Source organism: Homo sapiens, chromosome 6 (genome assembly GCF_000001405.40).
Source record: "Homo sapiens chromosome 6, GRCh38.p14 Primary Assembly".
NCBI lineage: Eukaryota > Metazoa > Chordata > Mammalia > Primates > Hominidae > Homo > Homo sapiens.
Genome location: NC_000006.12, coordinates 144,222,486 through 144,245,566, shown reverse-complemented (window position 1 = coordinate 144,245,566; position 23,081 = coordinate 144,222,486). Strand labels below are relative to the sequence as shown.

Here is a 23,081-nt window from a genome sequence, read left to right as displayed (position 1 = left end):
CAGTCTAGGCCACAAGAACTGCAATTCCTAGGCAAGTACTAGTGCTGTGCTGGACATAGAGCCAGTGGACCTGGAACACCAGTCAGGGTAGCTAAGGAAGTGCTTGCTCCACCCCTCCGGCAACCCCAGACAGCACAGCTTGCAGCAACAAAAGTGACTCCTTTCTTCTGCTTAAGAGAGGAAAGCAAAGAGAAAAGAGGATTTTGTCTTGTATCTTGGATACTAGCTCAGCCACTAAAGGATAGGGCAACAGGCAGAGTCATGAGGCCCCCATTCCAGGTCCTAGCTCGCAGACAATGTGTCTAGACACACCCTGGGACAGAAGGGAACCTGCTGCCTTGAAGGGAAGGACCCAGTCCTGGCAGGATTTATCACTTCCTGACTAAAGAGCCCTTGGGCTCTCAAAAACCAGCAGCAATACCCGGGTAGTAAGCCGTGAGCCTTGGGTGAGACTCAAAGATGTGCTGGCTTCAGGTATCAGCTCAACTACAGTGGGCTAGAGCACCAGGTAGGCTCTTGGGGTCCCCAATTCCAAGCCTTGGCTCTTGGACAGCATTTCCGACGTGCCCTGGACCAGAGGCAAACCCACTGCCCTGAAGGGTGAGTCCTAGACCTAGCAGCATTCATCAAAAGCTGATTGTATGCCTTGGTTGTTAAGTGAACATTGGTGGTAACTTGGCAGTACCCCCATGGGACTGTGGTGGTGGTGGCCACAGGGAGAGTGCCACCTGCCTGTGGAAAGGGGAGGCAATAGTGAGAAGGACCTTGGATGCTGGATGTCATCTCTGGACCTGCCTGGGACCTGAGAGAATTTGCCGCCCTGAAGAGTCGGACCCAAGCCTGGCTGGTTTCACCACCTGCTGATCATAGAACCCTAGGGCCTTGAACAGACACAGGCAGTAGCCAGGTAGGGGTTAAACCTGGCCTTGGGTGAGACCCAGTGCTGTGCTGGCTTCAGATCTGACCAAGCACAGTCCCAGTGGTGGTGGCCACAGGGGTGCTTGTGTCTCCCCACCCTCAACCCAGGCAGTTCAGCAGAGACAGAGAGAGAGAGAGCAAGAGAAAGAGAGAGGGAGAGACTCTGTCTGAGAGAAAGTAAGGGAAGAGAACAAGAGTTTCTTGCCTGGTAATCCAGAGAATACTTGATCTTATCCAAGACCACCAAGTCAGTACCTCTATGAGTCTGCAAGAACCACGGGATTATTGGGCTTGGGGACCAAGTCCCTTCAAATACCTGGGAAGCTTTCCCAAGAAAGACAGACACAAACAAGCCCAGAATACAAAGACTACAATAAGTACCAAACTTTTCAGTGCCCAGACTCCGATGAACATCCACAAGCACCAAGACAAATCCTGGAGAAACAGCTGTGTGACCTTTCAGACAGAGAAGTCAAAATAGCTGTTTTGAGGAAACTCAAAGAAATTCAAGATAATGCAGAGAAGAAATTCAGGATTCTATTATAAATTTAACAAACAGATTGAAATAATTTTAAAACAATCAAGCAGAAATCCTAGAGTTGAAAAAATGCAATTAACATACTGAAGAATGCATCTAAGTCTCTTAATAGCAAACTTGATCAAGCAGAAGAAAGAATTGATGAGCTTGAAGACAGGCTATTTGAAAATACACAGTCAGAGGAGACAAAAGAAAAAAGAATGAAAAAGAATGAAGCACACCTACAAGATCTAGAAAATAGCCTCAGAAGGGCAAATCTGAGAGTTATTGGTCTTAAAGAGAAGGTAGAGGAAGAGATAAAGAGATAAGGGTAGAAAGTTTATTCAAAGGGATAATAACAGAGAACTTCCCAAACTTAAGGAAAGATATCAACATTCAAGTACAAGAAGATTATAGAACACGAAGCAGATTTAACCCAAAGAAGACTATCTCAAGGCATTTAATATTCAAACTCCCAAAGGTCAAGGATAAAGAAAGGATCCTAAAAGCAGCAAGATAAAGGAAATAAATAACATACAAGGGAGCTCCAATATATCTGGCAGCAGACTTCTTAGTGGAAACCTTACAGGCCAGGAGAGAGTGGCTGAGAGAAAAAAACTTTTACCCTAGAGTAGTATATCTGGCAAAAAATATCCTTCAAACATGAAGGAGAAATAAAGACTTTTCCAGCCGGGTGCTGTGGCTCACGCCTGTAATCTCAGCACTTTGGGAGGCTGAGGTGGGTGGATCACCTGAGGTCAGGAGTTCGAGACCAGCCTGGCCAACATGGCGAAACCCTGTCTCTACTAAAAATACAAAAATTAGCTGGGCGTGATGGTGGGCACCTGTAATCCCAGCTACTTGGGAGGCTGACGAAGGAGAATCGCTTGAACCCAGGAGGCAGAGGTTGCAGTGAGCCAAGATCATGCCACTGCACTCCAGCCTGGGCAACAGAGCAAGACTCCGTCTCAAAAAGAAAAAAAAAAAGACTTTTCCAAACAAACAAAAGGTGAGGGATTTCATCAACACCAGACTTGTCCTTCAAGAAATGCTAAAGGAAGTTCTTCAATCCAAAACCTGAATAGAACAATAACAAGTAATGAGATTGAAGCCATAATACAAAGTCTGTTAGCAAACAAAAGTCTAGGATTCCATGGCTTCGCTTCCCTGCTGAATTCTACCAAACATTTAAAGAGGAACAAATACCAATCCTACTCAAACTATTCTAAAAAACAGAGGAGGGAATACTTTCTAATTCATTCTATGGTGCCAGTATGACCCTGATGCCAAAACCAGACAAAGACACATCAAAAAAGTAAAAGAAAAAAAAAAAAAGAAGGAAAAGAAAAGAAAGAAAGAAAACCATAGACCAATATCCCTGAAGAATATTGATGCAAAAATCCTCAGCAAAATACTAGCAAACCGAATTCAACAACACATTAAAAAGATCATTCATCATGACCAAATAGGATTTATCCCAGAGATTCAAGGATGGTTCAACATACACAAATTAATCAATGTGATATATCATATCAACAGAATAAAGGACAAAAATCATATGAACATTTCAATTGATGCTGAAAAAGCATATGATAAAATTCAACATCCTTTCATGATAAAAACCCTCAAAAAACTGGGGATAGAAGGAACATACCTCAACATAGTAAAGGACATATATGACAGACCCATAATTAGTATCACACTGAATGAGGAAAAACTGAAAAACTTTCCTCTAATATCTGGAACATGACAAGGATGCCCACTGTCACCACTGTTATTCAACATAATACTGGAAGTCCTAGCTACAGCAGTCGAACAAGAATAAGAAATAAAGGGCATCCAAATTGGAAAGGAAGAAATCGAATTATCCTTGTTTGCAGATGATATGATATTATATTTGAAAAAGCCTAAGGACTCCTCCAGAAAATTATTAGAATTGACAAACAAATTCAGTAAAGTTGTAGGATAGCAAATCAATAGAGTACAAGGTAGTACCAAATCAACATACAAAAATCAGTAGCATTTCTATTTGCCAACAGTGAACAATCTGAAAAAGAAATCAAGAAAGTAATCCCATTTACAATAAGTGCATATAAAATTAATTACCTAGGAATTAATTTAACCAAAGAAGTGAAAGATCTCTCAATGAAAACTATGAAACATTGATAAAAGAAATTGAAGAGGACACAAAATAATAGATATTCCATGTTCATGAACTGGAAGAATCAATATTGTTAAAATGTCTGTACTAGCCAAAGCAATCTACTGATTCAATGCAATACCTATAAAAATACCAATTACATTTTTCACAGAAATAGAAAAAAGAATCCTAAAATTTATATGGAACACAAAAGACCTAGATTAGCCAAAGCTATCCTGAGCAAAAAAAAAGAAAACTGGAAGAATCACATTACCTGACTTCAGATTATACCACAGAGCTATAGTAACCAAAACAGTGTAATACTAGAATGAAAACAGATACACAGACCAATTGAACAAGATGGAGAGCCCAGAAACAAATTCATACATCTTTGGTGAACTCATTTTCAACAAAGATGCCAAGAACATTGGTGAAAAGACAGTCTTCAATAAATAGTGCTGGGAAAACTGAATATCCATATGCAGAAGAACGAAACTAGACCCCTATCTCTCACCAAGATGGATTAAAGACCTAAATCTAGGACCTCAAACCACAAAACTACTAAAAGAAAACATTGAGAAAACTCTTAAATCTAGACTCAAATCTGGGACCTCAAATGATCAAACTATTAAAATAAAAACATTGGGGAGTGGACAAAGATTTCTTGAGTAATACCCCACAAGCACAGGCAACCAAAGCAAAAGTGGGCAAATGGGATCACATCAAGTTAAGAGCTTCTGCACCGCAAAAGATACCAACAACAAAGTGAAGAGGCAACCCACAGAATGAGAGAAAATATTTGCAAACTATCCATCTGATAAGGAATTAATAAGAATATATTGGGAGCTCAAACAACTTTATAGGAAATAATCTAATAATTCAATTAAAAATGAGAAAAAGATCTGAATAGATATTACTCAAAAGAAGACATAGAAATAGCAAACACGTTGTTGAAAAGGTGCTCAACATCATTGATCATCAGAGAAATGCAAAACAATACTACAATGAAATATTATTTCACCCCAGTTAAAATGGCTTTTATTCAAAAGACAGGCAATAACAAATGCTGGTGAGGATGTGGAGAAAAGGGAAAACTTGTACACTGTTGGTAGGAATGTAAATTAGTAAAACCACTATGGAGAACAGTTTGGAGGTTCCTCAAAAAACTTAAAATAGAGGTATCATACAATCCAGCAATCCTGTGGCTAAGCATATACCCCAAAGAAAGGAAATCAGTATATCAAAGATATATCTGCACTTTCATGTTTATTGCAGCACTATTCACAGTACCCAAGAGTTGGAAGTGTATTAGTCCATCCTCACACTGCTATGAAGAAATAACTGAGACTGGGTAATTTATAAAGAAAGAGGTTTAATTGACTCACAGTTCTACATGGCTGGGGAGGCCTCAGGAAACATACAATCATGGCACAAGGCAAAGGAGAAGCAGGCACCTTCTTCACAGGGCAGCAGGATGGAGTGAGTGCCACCAGGGGAAATGCCAGATGCACATGAGACTCACTCATTATCACGAGAACAGCATGGGGGAGACTGCCTCCATGATCCAATTACATCCACCTGGTCCTGCCCTTGACACATGGGGATTATTACAATTCAAGGTAAGACGTGGGTGGGGACACGGAGCCAAATTGTATCAGGAAGCAACCCAAGTTTTCATCAATAGATGAATGGATAAAGAAAATGTGGTACATATACACAATGGAGTATGATTCAGATCCTGTTATTTGCAGGAACGTGGATGGAACTGGAAGTCACTAAGTAAAATAACCCAGGCACAGAAGGACAAACTTTGCATGTTCTCACTTATTTGTGGGAGCTAAAAATAAAAAGAATTGAACTCATGGAGATAGAGGGTGGAAGGATGGTTACCAGAGGCTGGGAAGGATAGTGAAGGGATGGGGGGAAAATGGAGATTGTTAATGGGTACAAAAAACACTGAGAAAGAATGAATAAAATCTTGTATTTGGTAGTGCAACAGGTTGATTATAATCAATAATAACTTTATTGTATATTTTAAAATAACTCAAAGTGTATAATTGGTTTGTAACACAAAGAATAAATGCCTGAGATGATGGATACCCCACTTACTCTGATGTGATTTTTATGCATTACATGCCTGTATTAAAATGCCTCATGTACTCCATAAATATATATACCTACTATTTACCCACAAAAATTAAAAGTAAAAAATTATTTTGGCCAGGTGCGGTAGCTCACGCCTGTAATCCCAGCACTTTGGGAGGCCAAGACGGGTGGATCATGAGGTAAGGAGTTCAAGACCAGCTGGCCAATATGGTGAAACCTCGTCTCTACTAAGAATACAAAAATTAGCCAGGTGTGGTGGCTCGCACCTGTAGTCCCAGCTACTAGGCAGGCTGAAGCAGAAGAATCGCTTGAACCCGGGAGGCAGAGGTTGCAGTGAGCCAAGATTGCACCACTGCACTTCAGACTGAGCAACAGAGGGAGATTCTGTCTCAAAAAAAAAATAAGTAAATAAAAAAAGAAAGTCAAAACCTTCTTGCACTTCAAAAGACACCATTTAGAAAATGAAAAGGGCCAGGCTGTCTTGGCTCATGCCTGTAATCTCAGCACTTTGGGAGGCCTAGGAGAGAGAATGCTTAAGGCCAGCAGTTCAATATCATCCTAGGCAACATGGAGAGGACATGTCTCCACAAAAAATTTAAAATTAACCAGCCATAGCGGCATGTGCCTCAACTACTTGGGAAGCTGAGGCAGGAGGATCACTTTAGCCCAGGACTTCAAGGATACAGCAAGCTAAAAAGATGTCACTGTACTCCAGCCTGGGCAACAGAGTGAGACCTCACCTCTAAAAAATAAAATAAATGTTAAAATGTTTTTAAAAAGAAATTGAAAAGATAAGCCACAGAATGGAAGAAAATATTTTCAAGCCATATATTTAACAAATGACTAGTATCTAGAATATAAAAAGGAACTTCTTCAAATCAATAATTTAAAAAACTCAATTTTTTAAATAGACAAAAGAATGGATGGACATACCAGCAAAGAAAATATGCAAGTAGCTAATATTCACATGAAAAGATGGTCAACATCATTAGTTATTAGGAAAATGGAAATTAAAACCACAATGAGATACTACTTCACACCCACTAGAATGACTATAATCAAAAAGTCAGACAATACCAAGTGTGGGCAATAATGTGAAGAAAATGGAATTCTCTACACTGCTGATGGGAATTTTAAATGATAGGGCCATTTTTCAAAAGAGTCTGGCAGTTTTCTTTAAAAATTAAACATAAATTAACTGCCTGGTATGGTAGCTCATGCTTGTAATCCCAGCACTTTGGGACAATGAGGAGGGAGGATTGCTTGAGCCCAGGAGTTCAAGACTACAGTAGGCTATGATCTTGCCACTGCACCCGAGCCTGGGCAACAGAGTGAGACCCTGTCTCGAAAAACAATAACATAATTTTACCATACAATACAGCAATTCCACTTCTGGATATTGACCCAGGGAAATGATGATATATACCCACATGAAGACTTGCACATAAATGTTGACAGCAACACTATTTATAATAGTGAAGAAGCAGAAACCATTCACTCTTCCCTCAAGTGGTGAGTGAACAAATAAAATGTGGTGGTATATCCATACAATGAAAGACTATTCTGCAATGAAAAGGAAAAAATTACTTATAATGCTACAACATGAATGAGCCTCAAAAATATTACGTTAAGTGAAAGAAGTCAGTCACAAAAGACCAAATATTGTATAATTCCACTTAAATGATCCAGAAGAGTCAAATCTATGAAGACAGAAAAGAGACTAGTGGTAGACTCAGTCTCAAAACAACAATGTCGGGCACGGTAGCTCATGCCTGTAATCCCAACAGTTTGGGAGGCTGAGGCAAGCAGATCACCTGAGGTTGGGAGTTCTAGACCAGGCTGACCAACATGGAGAAACCCCGTCTCTACTGAAAATACAAAATTAGCTGGGTGTGGTGGCACACACCTATAATCCCAGCTACTTGGGAGGCTGAGGCAGGAGAATCGCTTGAACTCAGGAGGCGGAGGTTGCAGTGAGCCGAGATCATGCCATTGCACTCCAGCCTGGGCAACAAGAGTCAAACTCTGTCTCAAACAAAACAAAACAAAAACAACAACAACAAAAAATCAAAAAATACAAAAATTAGCCAGGCCTGATGGTGCACACCTGTAATTCCAACTACTCAGGAGGCTGAGGCAGGAAAATCGCTTCAATTCAGGAGGTGGAGGTTGCAGTGAGCTGACATTGTGCCACTGCAATCCAGTGGGTGACAGAGTGAGACTGCGGTCTCAAAATAAAAATAAAAAATAAAATAAAATAAATAAATAAATATATATATATATATATATATATATATATATATATATATATATATATATATAATATGAGTCAGTGAGTGTTTTTTGTTTTTGTTTTTTTGAAACAGAGTTATGCTCTATTGCCCAGGCTGGAGTGCAGTGGCACGATCTCAGCTCACTGCAACCTCCGCCTCCTGGATTCAAGCGATTCTCCTGCCTCAACCTCCCAAATCGCTGGGATTACAGGCATGGGACATCACACCTAGCTAATTTTTGTATTTTGGTAGAGATGGGGTTTCACCATGTTGGCCAGGGTGATCTCCAACTCCTGGCCTCAAGTGACCCGCCTGCCTCGGTCCCCCAAAGTGCTGGGATTACAGGTGTGAGCCACTGCCCCTGGCCTGAATTGTATACTTAAAATAGGTATGTAAATAATATCTTGTTAAAGTTGTTTTTAAAAGCAGAATGCTTACAGCCACCTAGAAACAAACTTTATAAGTAAAGAAAATATAGTTTTTTTTTTGAGGCAGGGTCTCTCTGTTGCTCAGGCTAGAGTGCAGTGGCATGATCATAGCTTAGTGCAGCCTCAAACTCCTGGGCTCAAGCAATCCTCCTGCCTCAGCCTCCTGAGTAGCTAGATCACCAGGTGCAAGCCACTACACCCAGCTAACTTTTACATTTTCTGTGGAGATGAGATCTTGCTATATTTCTCAGGCTGGTCTTGAATTCCTGGCCTCAAGTGATTCTCCTGCTTGGCTTCCCAAAATGCTGGGATTACAGGCATGATCTACCACACCTGGCCTAACAAAACATAATTAAGTTCCAACTAGGTGGTGGAATTATGAATGATTTTTATACTTTATGTTTTTCTGTATTTTACAAGTAAAAATATTTTTCATACCAGAAGAAACAATAATGATAATTTTAAAAATTATTCTCTGAGAGTCACACATAAACCCACTACATAACAAACCAGAGGAGAGCTGTGTAAAGTCACCTTGATAAAGAGACAGAATTACTCTCAGGCCTTATTTGGCAGTAACCTGATTAAAGTTAATGACATGTAAAGAATGAAGAATCAGGCTGAGTGCCATAGTTTACGCCTATAATCCCAGCACTTAAGGAGGCCAAGGTAGAAGAATCGCTTAAACTCGGGAGTTTCAGACCAGCCTGGGCAACATAGCGAAACCCCATCTCTATTAAAAATACAAAAAATTAGCCTGGCACGGTGGCACATGCCTGTAGTTCCAGCTACTTAGGAGGCTGAGGTGAGAGTATCACCGGAGCCCTGGAAGTTGAGGCTGCAGTGAGCTGCGATTGTGCCACTGCACTCCAGCCTGAGTGACAAGACTGAGACCCTGCCTCAAAAGAGAAAAGAAAGAAAGAGAGAGAGATAGAGAGAAAGGAAGGAAGCAATAAAGAGAGAGAGGAAGAAAGGGAGAAAGAAAGAAGAATCCATCAGCAGAGAACGTTCATCAATAAAGAAAGCAAAGAAAACAGACAGTTGCAGAGGCAAGCATTTCAGGGCTTAACCAATCCCATGCAGCAAGGTGAAGGCTGGTCACAGAGCAGGCATGTATAACCCCATGGTGGAGATGGACATCACAAGTCTTACAGAACTTTAGAACATTAGGCATTTTAAATGTGTGTCTTAGTCTATTCCTTCTGCTGTAACAAAAATACCATAAACCGTGTGGCTTATAAAAAACAGAAATTTATTTCCCACAGGTCTGGAGGCTGGGAAGTCCAAGATCAAGGCCACACACCTGCTTTCTAGCTCATGGACAGTTTCTCTCTGTGTCTTCTCGCAATGGAAGGGGTGAGGGGTCTCCTGGGCCTTAGGGTCAGCTCACCTTTCTTGGTAACAATCCAATTTTGAAAAGAACGTTTCATTCAATCTTCATATAAAGACATCCAAGACACCAAAATATATTAAAAGTATAATATGTTCAGCATATTTTATTTAAGAACCCACTCATTGGAAGAATTTAAATTCTTTAAATCTTGTACTTATTGGCCCCAGACCATCCAGCTATATCAATGAAAATTCTAGCACTAGCCAGTTCAATTTCACTCTAGTCATAAAACCCGTCCTGGTTAAACAGAGAGCTTCCTTCTAATGACTTCTGGTGGCGTCGATGCTAGAAAGAGCCTTTGGCTCTGTACCTAAGTCCTCTGCTTGTGGGACAATGGAGCATATCTGAGTGCTGAGCTATAGTGTCCTGCAATATATAGGCACTGACCTTTTGTCCTGGTCATAATTTCTATTCTTATTCCCATATGAGACTTTGAGGCCAAGACACTGTGCCTCATTCTGTCTGCCCTCTACCTCCTTTCATAAACCCCCATTCTAGCTGGACCCCAATGAAATCTCCGCTCTGATCCTGGATGGATCTTTTGATTGCGGCACTCATTGGATGCTCTGAACCACCTTTTCCTAGAATAGTGGTTCTCAAACTTGGTTGCTGTGATGCAGCAATTCAGTTCTAATGCTAATCACCCACAGTTAGCATCAGAATCCACAGGTTTACAGGAAGTCCTCAATAAGACCGCCCTCATTTCAGATGCCAGCTGCAAGTTCAGGAGTCCCCAGGTCACCTGCACTTCTGACCAACTGGCTACAAATTTGGGAGTTCCTACTACCTTTTCAGGTTCAACGATTTGCCAGAATGACTCAGAGAATTCAAGAAAGTACTATTCTTATGATTGCAGTTCTATTGCAAGCAACACAAATTGGGACCAGCCAGATGACAATACACATAAGGTGGGATCTAGGAGGGTCCCAAATGCAGAACTTCCATGCCATCTCCCCAAGGAGTCAGGATACGTCACTATCCCTGCACAGGAAGCTCCCCCAAGCCTTAGTGCCCAGAGTTTTAATTGAGGTCTCATTATGTAGACATGATTGATTGAATCATTGGCCACATGATTGAAGTCTCCAGCCCCCTTCCCCACCCTGGAGGTCAGGCTAATATCACTGTTATTCAAAGACCCAACCCTCTAGTCACATGACCGGTCTTCCCAGCATGCCTAGTTCCCATTCTGAGTGATTGCCTTAGAGTAAACTCAGGTGTGGTCCAAGGGGCCGCCATGAATAACAAAGACACTACTATCACTGGAGGGAATTCTAAGCATTTTAAAATCTCCCTCTCAGGAACTGGAGACAAATGCCAGCCAAATCCTTTCTTATAGAACAGTTGCATATTGCAATCACTTAAGAAGGTTTTTTAAAATGTTCACGCCTGGACCCCACCAGAAGAGTCTCATTTAATTGGTCTGGGGAACGACCTGAATATGAAGATCTTTAAAACCCCCAGATGATTCTAACATACTGCTTTGTTCCATTCAGGCTGCTGTTTTAAAATACTGTAAATTGCATGGCTTATAAACAGCAGACATTTATTTCTCACAGTTCTGGAGGCTGGGAAACTCAAGATACAGGCACCAGCAGATTTTGTGTCTGGTGAGGACCTACTTCTTAATTCATAGATAGCTGTCTTCTTGCTGGATCCTTAAACAGTAGAAAGGGCAACGGAGCTCTCCGGGACCTCTTTTATAAAGGTATTAATCCCATTTATGAGGACTACACCCTCATGACCTAATCACATCCCAAAGGCCTCATCTCCAAATATCACATTGGGTATTAGGATTTAACATATGAATTAGGGTGGGTACACAAACATTCAGTCTGTAGCACATACCCTATAAGCTGTGCTGCTGACTCTCCTTCATCCTCTTTGTATGAACTCCTAAGATCTGTGTGCTCCTTCAAATTAAATTGGAATTGTTAGTTTAGTTAATAGAGCTCACAACATGCCACTTGGCTGGGGCCAGACATCTTATGATCCAAGTTAAGTCTAGGGCCTCTGTGTTGCACAACTCCAGGGGGCTCTATTCATATTATACTCTGTGTAAATGGCGCCCCTGGATTTATGCAGTGTACACACTACACCATGTAATGGGGCAAAGTCTTGTTCAGTCACCACCCATCAAGTTTACACCAAGCAAATTTGCCAAATGACCAACTTATCAGGTTTATCAATTTTACTTACATATTTATTAGCCCTATCAGGAATATTTTCATAGTTCTATCAGCTTTAGATTTTAAGTTTAAGACCATCTAAAAGTAAATCAGAATTTAGCTAAAATGATCTTCTATATTAAGAAGAAAATATGGACTAAAGGATTCCCATAGGAGATGCTGAAATTTTGAAAAGTTGAACATCTTGTGAAAGCCCATAGTGAATTTAACATTCTTATTAAATTCACTATTAGCAAATTTTGTAAATTCATGTAAATCTGATATGTCAGATTATTCTATAAGTTAGCTTTCAGAAAACTGGCTTTCAGTGAGTGGGAATTCTTGAAATTGTTTTCTCAGCTTCTTCTTGTGAGAAAGAAGGATTTTTTTTAATTATCTAAAACAATTGCTTATGTGAGAATGAGTTATACCCTAGTATTTTCCACCAAGATTTCCTTGTATAGAATGCAATTTGGAGATTTCATTTTGAAAACATTTAAAATAGAAAGGGCAGGAATAAAGTGGATTAAAATATGAACCACTTGTGAGAACCAAGGCTTTTTCCCCAGGGCCTGGGAGGTGCTCCCCGGCAATGAAACAATAAACTTTTGCAGCAGAAAAAAAATTTAGCAAAACTTGGCAACTATGGTGGAGTAAGAGGTTGTACTCAACATTAAGGTCCCAATGCGATACATTTCCTAAGCATAAACAGTGATTGCCTTTATCCTTACAAAGTCAATTCAAGGTACTTATGTGGGGCATTTTTTGTTCATCTACCTGAGGAAAAAAAAAAATTAGAAAGCTCTTTCTACCTCATACTAGAATAGGAAATAATTTTTAGCAATCTTCCTTTTCTTTTTCCCCCCTTTTTTCAAGGAAAGAGGATTCAAATTTGTGGCTATGATTGTATTTTAAGCTACCTAAGAAAATTGCTCGTGAGAAAACAGTTGCCTTCTAAAAATAAACCAAAGCAACCTAATACAAACATCTCTAGCCCTGGCTTTGAAAGTTCTGTCTGAATTCCAAGCCTCTAGTTTTCAGTTTGTTTCTGAGTTTGTTGATGAACTAGCCAAGCCTAAGGATTGACATTGCAGGACTCCATAAAAATCCTTACAAATATACAGGTATGGTTGGTTGCTTTTGAAAAATAAAATTTCCCAGCTCATTCCACAATCTCAATGATCTCATACTGCTAGAGGATCTGGAAATACAGAGCCAAAGTTAAGGGTTCCAGCAGTCGGTTTCCAAAGCGTCATTGGAGTGGGCTAAAGGTGCACATTAGTTAGGCTTTTACACCTCCTGTTCCTTTTCAAGAGCGTGATTAATTACAGTGATTTATCTGTGAAAAGTGCAGCTTGGAGTTGGATGTGGGGAAGCCACAAAATGGTGTCAATGCTTCAGCCTGGAGTAAATGGTGAAATATATTTAGCAAGCAATAATGCCAGGCACTGAGAAACAGAAATAAATAGAAGAAACTGTCTTTACATGAATAGAGAACTTTACACAATACCATGTATTCACAAAAAGGAAATAATTATAGAAAATACAAACAGAGGGAAAAAAAAACAGAAAGTCTTCCAAGTTCCAAATTTCCATTCTGATTCTAGCTCCAAAACGGCAGGTCAGTTTCTCAGGAACTTTATTCCTTCCCATTTTCCAGCCTCTCTTCATGTGTCAGTGACAAATTCTAGATAAAATGAAAAAGTGGCTTAGATGATAATACCTTCCCGGGTCAAGGCCAATGTGAAGATTCAAGCCAGGGTTAAGATTGGAGTTAGTGATTCCCTTCCTTTTCCCAGATGCGCCTAAAGAAGGACTTTGGCAGGACTGTGGAGCCTGACATAAAGAAGGTTTTCCCTTCCAAAAAATGCTGCTTTCCTAGTTTTGCTTTTCTCTAACATAGATTGGGCTTGCACACAAGTATTAATTTACTTCAAAGGACTTGGAAAGTCTAATCAAACAACTGACTTTACAACTGACTTTGCCAAGGAATGCAAACAAAAGCCAGCCAAATTAGTTTGTGTGCAGAGATATATCCAAGGATATATCTAATATCACTTAAATGTGAGCTTTCTTGGCCTGGCAAGGTGGCTTACGCCTGTAATCCCAGCATTTTGGGAGGCAGAGGTGGGCAGATCACTTGAGATTAGGAGTTCAAGACCAGCCTGGTCAACATGGTGAAACCCTGTCTCTACTAAAAATACAAAAATTAGCCGGGCATGGTGGCACATGCCTGTAATACCAACTACTTGGGAGGCTGAGGCACGAGAATCGCCTGAACCTGGGAGGTGGAGATTGCAGTAAGCTGAGATCACGATGCCACTGCACTCCAGCCTGAGCGACAGAGTGAGACTCCATCTCAAAAATAAATGCACTTTCTGTAGTACTCTCAGAGACCCTCTTCTCACCATCCTCTCTTCTTGCATAATTGTATTCAGGCCTTTGCTTCCTTTGCCACCTATATATTGATGACTCCCATCTTATTACTCTCTCGAGTTTTAATCTCATACATTTGAGGATCTTTGGAGAAGCAGAGAATGAGGGATCCAGAGCCTTCAGTTTTAGAAACTCTTTTGCTCCTTCAATGTTCTAAAGAAACTTAAAAATAAATATACATACAAGCTGTTGTCTGCTCTGCTTGGCACCATAATGTTCATATTATTGGCTGTATTTTCAATTAGATACATTTTCTTCTAAGCTGATTGATATGGTTTGGGTCTGTGTCCCCACCCAAATCTCATGTCTAGTTGTAATCCCCAATGTTGGTGGTTGGGCCTCGTGGGAGGTGATTGGATCATGGGGGCGGGCGTCCGTTTTGGTGCTGTTCTCATGATAATAAGTGTGTTGTCACATGATCTGGTTGTTTAAAAGTGTGTAGCACCTCCCCACTCTCTCTTCTCTCCTGCTCCAGCCATGTCAGATGTGCCTGCTTCCCTTGGCTTTCCACTACGATTGAAAGTTTCCCGAGGCCTCCCCTGCCATGCTTCCTATACAGCCTGTGGAACCATAAGCCAACGAAACCTCTTCTCTTTATAAATTACCCAGTCTCGGGTAGTTCTTCATAGCAGTGCAAAAACAGACTAATAATTGATATTCAGATAGACAGGTTGGGAATCTGACAATTTCCTTAAACTGCAGGCCAGCATTTCAGAGCAGAATTGACAGGATGTGTAATAAAAAGAAAACGCTAAAGCACTGGTATGCAGTGGATGGTTAGTGACTTCTTTCTTATATTTTTAATACTAATACTAATATTTATATTGATTTGTATTAATATCAGGTTGGATTAACATTGGCTGCAGGTGAAAGAAGCCTTCACCAAATAACAGTTTATTTCTGCCTTCATGGATGCCTGAAGGTTGGTAATCCAGGGTTGGGATGGTTGTTTTGCTTTAAGAAGGCCTCAGGAAGAAGCTCTTTCTAGCTCTCTTGTCTTCCAACCCCAGGCTGTGGCCTCCGTCCTCATGGTGCAATGTGATGGTTGAAGCATCAGCCATCATATCCATGTTCCCAGGAACAGGAAATGGGCACACACATGGTGTCTTGAGGATGTTTTCCTGGAAGTTGTCCAATAACACTTCTACTTATAAGTCACTGGCCAGAACTTATTGCCATTGCTGTTCGCAGCAGAGAGAAAAGCTGGACAATGCAGCTTTATTCCAGGCAGCTTTGTGTCCAGTTCAGCATCGCGCTGCAATTTTTACAGAAGGAATGGAGAATAGATCGGGGGAGGGAGCAACCAGCAATCTTGGCAACATTGTTTTCTGAACACTAAATAAAACCACTAGAAAATATCTAGATTGATTGGATGACACCGGGATGGGACTGTTAGTTTCGCATGAAGATTTAGTGGAGAAACCATGTATTTGTATGGATGAAGTGAAATGAATGGCCTGGCAGGCTTCTTTTCAAGGGCTCTCATGCATGCTCAGCCTCAGATGCATCACATCGGTAGCATCCTGTGCACCATGAGGACTTAGGGACCCACGGGCCATTTTCCTGAGAGACAGCAGCCAGCCAGCCCTGACCGCAGGAGCTCAGACAGCCAGATAGCCCTAAGCAGCTGAGTCTGGTGGGCGAACTTTTCTGAGTGGCTGCCAGTTTGTGATGGTCCCCACAGAAGCGCCTCTGTTATTTTGTGCAGTGTGTCTCTAAGTATTCCAGTGAGGACACCCACCACTTCTCTTGAATGTACAGACTCCTCTGTGGGGGTTTTTCTCCCTGCTTGTCAGCTTCAGTCTTCTTTGTTCAGAATCTTCCCTCTTCCTCTGGACTTACCCCTTCAACACGACCACAACCTCAAGAATGTGATGTTTGCACTTACAACGTTCTATGAAATCCAGCAAAACAGCCTCAGTGGACAACTCTTCTACTTAAGGAGATTTTTGTTTTTCTCTTCTCTTGTTTAAATCTAGCATAGACACCTTTATCAAGTACACGGGTATGTCTTAAGTGACTTTTGTGGCATTTCTAAGCTTTAATGTGACTTAGATTAAAGGTGTTTAAAAAGGAGAAAACAAAGACAAATTTTGAACTCTCCTTCGAACTAAAAAATTGTGCTGAACTCCTTAATATTTGAAATATTGATATTCTGAGAGGTAAAAGAATGTTAAGTAAATATTTCACATGGACAAATAATTTACTGTCATAATCGTCTTTTAGAAATGCTTTGCTCGTAAAGAGACTCACAGCTGCCTTTCTAGTTTAGGTTTCAATCTGTACATCAAATGAGCAATTCAGCAGGACATCTTGGTACAGGGTTCAAGAAGCTGTTAAGAATGGTTGCTTGGGGAGGGTCATTTGAGCCCAGGAGTTCCAGGTTACAATGAGCCATGATCGCACCATTGCACTCCAGCCTGGGCGACAAAGCAAGACACTGTCTCATTAAATTAAAAAAAAAAAATAGAAAAAGAAAGAAAAGAAAAAGAATGGCTGCCTGTATACCCCCAGGGAACTGAAGCAGTGCCCTTGAGCATGCCTACAGGCCAAGACCTGCACTCTGACAATATCTCATTAAATTGGCATGAAATAAAAACAGAAAAAGGAGGACCTTTTTCCATCCCAATGAAAACAGATGGAAGGACTGTGGAAAGGGCAAGGTTTTAGCGATATATCAGCCTGGGTTCAAATTTCAGACCTTCACTTACTAACTACACTGTGAGCAAGTTACTTAACCCCTCTCATAAGAAAGCAATGAGTAGTAGAAGCCAGCATAGATTCATTAATAACATCTTAGGTCAAACCGACATAATATTTTTTATAAGGTTACTATGCATAGACAGAATGTAACTTAATTTTGGCACAGTATTAGAAAGCACATCTCCAGATATTCTTATGGTCACAATGAATAAATGCCAGATCAGGTAATCATTAAATATAAGTTTGGAGCCAGTAGAACAATGACATACAAAAAGTGTATATTAATGTATTAATTCCATCAGGAATTAATTCCAGTTGTCTTCAAGATTTGATCAACAACTTGAATACAAATTTATTAAATGTTTTGATAGCTCCAAACTAGGAGGGGCAGTGAATGCAGTGGATAACATAATCAAAATTCAAAATAATTACTTAAAATAGCTAAAATAAAGACTATTAAAAGCGATCTATCAAATTCAGCATTTAGATTATAGCTACTTGGGATCTGGGCATGGTCCAAAGTTGAGGATGGTGTTGGTTCAGTATGACCAGAGCAAGCCAACTGGACCCACTTGACCAGCAGGTGTGGAGTGAGCCAGGAAGAAGAGATGATCCATGTGACTGGAAATTGGTTACATACTGGGAGATTATGTGAATATGGTGGGGATAATGGAAGGCAGATTTCTCACTGTTGGAGAAAGTAGGTACAAATATCAAAGTGGAGAAAGTTAGAATTAACCCTGTGCAGTTGTACTGGAATTGGAGGTGTATGTATACATACATACACACATACATACATACATGTGTATGCATGTGTGTATGTATGCATACATAAATTTCATAGCTCTATCTGCTGAAAGGGACTAGAAGCAATAATATCCCAGTACCAATGAACATATTTGGTACCCAGATTTTGGTTTCTAAATACCATTTTCCTCTGAAGGAATCATCTCCTTGGAAATTGGGATGATTCAAGGCCACTGGAGGGAAACATTCTAGATGAGCCTAGAACACTTGTATCAGAAAGTAAGAAGTGTTCAATGAAAACTATTGAATGAATACAAGAACCAGCCTGAAGGAGCTCCTATTGGCCAAATCTGGAAATTTGAACAGCTAAATTTTAGTTAATGATTATAATGGATTAAAACTAACTGAATAAAATAGGAATCCATGAGCCAATATTGATATAAACAAATAAGTAATGTCAACTAGTAAATGTAGAAGGAATAATGGACATAGAAATCATCATTTGGTAAGAATCACAGTTTAAGAATAATTGTAAGGTAGGTAAGAATAATTCTTTCAGACAAAAATCATAAATGGATGCTCATACTAATGGAAGTACCAAAAATGTGGTAAATAATTTTACAGTGGAGAAACCTGTCCAGTATCATCTTATCTAAGTCGTAAAAATCAACATCACCAGAAATGGGACAAATTGACATCATGTGCCACCTGATATGATATACTAAGAAGAACATGGCAGCACGTTTGTGGTATTGCTGGATCTAGTTATAACAATGTGTGAGACAAACATAAATTGAAGAACATTCGACCAAAAGAACTGATCTGCACCTTCCAAAGAGTAAAGGTCATGAAAGTCAGTATGTAAATACTAGAGCATGATTATAAAAGACAGAGCCCATCAAGTCACAGGAATACAGCAGCTGCAAATGCACACTGATATGGATGTATTGAACTAGGGACTCAAATACCACGGCTGCTGTTGCTGTGAGTGATGTGACTTTCCAGTGTGGAAACTTTTTTTGTTTTTTGAGACAGAGTCTCACTTTGTCACCCACGCTGGAGTACAGTGGCATGATCTTGGCTCACTACAACCTCTGCCTCCCCTGTTCAAGTGATTGTCCTGCCTCAGCCTCCTGCATAGCTGGGACTACAGGCGTGCACCACCACACTAAGCTAATTTTTGTTTTAGTAGAGACCAACTTTCACCATGTTGGCCAGGTTGGTCTTGAACTCCCAACCTCATGTGATCTGCCCACCTGGGCCTCCCAAAGTGCTGGGATTACAGGCATGAGCCACTGCGCTCAGCCAGGAACTAACTCTTGATGAAATTCTGAGTAAAACAAAGTACAATTTTCCCTTAAGTTACATGGTAGCTGTAGTACTTGCAAAACTAACTGTATAATGAAAGCTTGCAAAAATATTTTGTGCTTAATATGAAATGCAGAGTTAGTCTGTGGGTCCAGATAAACAGCCCTTTAACCCACGGGAACATCCTGTTGAACATTCAAAAGTCTTGCAGGATGAAGGACGATTAGTTATTGTGTGGGACTCCCAGATATTGCAGCATGCCTAGCAGCCCTGGCTGTCCCTCATGGCAGAAGCCCCCACAAGCCAAGACAAGCCAAAAGTGCTCCCATACTTCCCCAAATGTCTCCCAGGGCCAGTGCCACCACTATTAAGAACCGCTGATTTAGAGACTACTTTGCCACTGTCGGAAGTGATCAGTGGGTTATTTCTGCTTTATTGGAAGATTTGTTCAAGTAAATCCCTTCCAACTCTTACATTCAACAAGCCCATGATTAAATCTCATGTAGCCATTACCTGTTTCCCTTCTGAAACACTGCAATTTTTTTTACTCCTTTGATGAAGATACTCAAATATATATCAATACTTTAAAAGGTATATTAGTTAGCCAGGACCCTTTCAGCTGCAAATAACAGAAACCAATACAAACTACTATCTATCTATACACGAGAGGAACTTACTGTCTTAAATTGGAAATGCAAGGATGGTGTTGATTCTACAACAATGTGATCCAGAAATTCAAGTGAGGTTTGGGAGGGGCACTCCCCACTTCCTTCCTTCCTCTTCCCCTTCTTTCTACCTTCTTCCTTTTTTCTTCTCTTTCCTTTTCCCCTTCTCTCCTTCCTTCCTTGTTTTTTTTGGAGACGGAGTCTCACTCTGTCACCAGGCTGTAGTGCAATGGTGTGATCTCGGCTCTCTGCAACCTCCGCCTCCAGGGTTCAAGCGATTCTCCTGCCTTAGCCTCCCAAGTAGCTGGGACTACGGATACACGCCACCATGCCCAGCTGATTTTTGTATTTTTAGTAGAGACAGGATTTCACCATGTTGGCCAGGATAGTCTCAATCTCTTGACCTCGTGATCAGCCTGCCTCAGCCTCCCAAAATGTTGGGATTATAGGTGTGAACCATTGCACCTGGCTCTTTTTTTTATTCTTTCTTTCTTTTCCTCTTTCTCTCTCTCTTCTCCCCCTCTTCCTCTCCCTCTTCCTTCTCTCTGCTTCCTCCTCCTTCTCCCTCTCCCTTGGCTGAATGCAGGCTGTCTCCCAGTGATAGGCAAATACTACTGGTTGTCCCTCATTCACATTCTATCACTTCTGTGAACAGCTTCTGCTTCTTCTCTACTGCTCTGAACTGTACCCCACAGTTCAAGGGGAGATCCACAAAATAACTATGAAATAATCAATTGTATGATTTTAGTTGTTTAACACCATGAAGGCAGAACCTTGTCTTTCTTATTCATTGCTATATCCCAGCTCCCAGCATAGGTGAGTGTGGCCATTCTGGCCACTTTCAAAATACTTATTGAGTTAATGAATTGCCTAGTTGGAACTAGAGGTTGCCAGCTTTCAGTGCTTGTATCTCTCTACAAGACTTTCCTACACATTTTGAAAAAAGTGGGTAAATGGCAGCAGTAAGCTATGTGTTCTGGAAGGAGACTTTAGGCTGGCTCACAGTGCTGAGATATAGAAGCAGAATAGAGAAATTCAGTGGGGAAAACACTTTTTACCCCAAATCCACCCAAGCCGGCTTCTCCACCCAGACTTACCCAAGTTCATCCTCATTTTACTTTCATCTGAGGGCCATTCACAGGAGACTAAAGAAATTGACTAATTGGGCCGGGCGCGGTAGCTCACACCTGTAATCCCAGCACTTTGGGAGGCCGAGGCGGGCGGATCACGAGGTCAGGATATCGAGACCATCCTGGCCAATACGGTGAAACCCCGTCTCTACTAAAAAAATACAAAAAATTAGCCGGGCATGGTGGCAGGCGCCTGTAGTCCCAGCTACTAGGGAGGCTGAGGCAGGAGAATGGCGTGAACCCGGGAGGCAGAGCTTGCAGTGAGCTGAGATCGCGCCATTGCACTCCAGTCTGGGCGAAAGAGCAAGACTCAGTCTCAAAGAAAAAAAAAAAAAAAAGAAAGAAAGAAATTGACTAATTGACTCAATTAATATAATGTTGAGGTCACTTTAACTCGTTAGGCCACTTTAAAACTTCATTTGTTATCTGCAGCTAAAAGAGTACATTTGTGCATGTTGTTCTTTGTAGAGCACTAATGGAATTAGGCATTACACTGAATCACAGTAAAAGAGCTTTATAATAATAGACTTCAATTCCACTTTATACTCTCTGGTGCACTTTTGCTGCTCTTAAAAGCAGGATATCATATATTATTTTGCACATCTTCCGAGTGTTACGGGTTTCTTATTTTTCTTATGTGGGATTAAAAACAATTTTTTTTAAGTCAGGTTGCATTTAAAAAGCTGAACTGGGTGGGTCCAAATTGCTAGTGTTTAAAAAATGTGAAAAACATCCTTAATATAGCTATTTGTGACTAACCCAGTGGGTGTGATACACAGGGAGAAACAATAAGTTCTCTTATTGTGCATTTGAAAAGTTAGAGTTTAGAACTCTGCTATTTCAGAAATTATTCAGGGAATTACCCAGACTTTTCTTTAAGAAGAGGCTGTTGATGATGAAAAATTAGACATTTCAAAACTTTTACATGAAAAAAGTTTAATAAGTCAGAAGAATGCAATCTATGTCCCTCTCCCAATTTTCTCTCTTTTAAAAATTATATCTGTTGCTGATGATCTCATTCTACTCTCCTGCAATTGCTGTGGCAAATACAATTGTCAACTGAAGAATGATGAGGTTCTTAAATTTGGAAAGGAGAGCTTTATTTCTCATAAAGAGTTCCAGCCTGCAGGATGGCCATTATGACAGGCGAGGAAATATAGCCTCTGGCCAGAAGCCAGAAACAGACACTTTGAGGAAGGGGCAAAGGGAATAGGAATTTATGCTGGGCAGGATGGTAAATATATAATACATATTTAATAAGCCAGAGGAGGACTCATGCATACTTATGAAAGGAGAAACATGTGCGTGAGCATTTGAGCTTCATGCCCCTTCATGAGTCCCAGGTACAAAAAATGGCGGTGTTAGCATGATCCCAGAATGCAGTTTTCAGCCCTCTGATGTCAAAAGATGAAGCAGAGGCCAGATGGGGTGGCTCATGCCTGTAATTTCAGCACATTGGGAAGCCAAAGCAGGAGGATCCCTTGAGCCAAGATTTTGATACCAGCCTGGGCAACATAGTGAGACTCTGTCTCTATGAAAAATAAGAAAAAGTTAGTTGGGCATGGTGGCTTGAGCCTGTCATCCCAGCTACTCTGGAGGCCAAGGTGGGAGGATTGCTTGAGCCCAGGAGTTTGAGGCTGCAATGAGCTATGATCACGCCACTGCACCCTAGCCTGGGCAACAGAGTGAGGCTCTTTGTCTCAGAGGAAAAAAAAGGGTGAAGCAGAGGACACAAAAACCTTTACAGTACCTCCTCCACAGACTGACAAGAACCACTCCATGCTTGGTAGTCTCTTATTAGGCAAAAAAGGAGGGGCAGTGTCAGGCAGTTGGTTGATGTCAGTGGTGGAGTCTTTTGAAAGGGCTGGTTTCTGTTTAGGCCTTAGGGAAGAAAGCCTGATCCTGGTTAGTGAGGGAGAGGATATAAGGAGGCATGTCTGACCTCTCACCTCACCATGAGTGACAACTTAGTTTTCAAGGTTACTCTGGGGTCCCCCTTGGTTAAGAGGAGGTCTGTTTAGTCAGTGGGGACTTAGAATTTTATTTTTAGTTTACACACACAATGTACATCCAACAGAATCAATTCCATGAGCAACTTTTGCCTTTATAGCAAAACTGATCTCACAGTCAATCCATATATACACTTTATGAG

General features: G+C 40.8%; 1 annotated feature.

Annotated features, from left to right (window-relative positions):
- Positions 16,009-16,228: a silencer, noted in NCBI's record as "fragment chr6:144550475-144550694 (GRCh37/hg19 assembly coordinates)". NCBI's record gives its function as "represses an EF-1alpha promoter that drives an FKBP-Casp9 reporter gene in an ReSE screen in K562 erythroleukemia cells {active_cell/tissue: K562}" and the evidence as "EXISTENCE:reporter gene assay evidence [ECO:0000049][PMID:32094911]".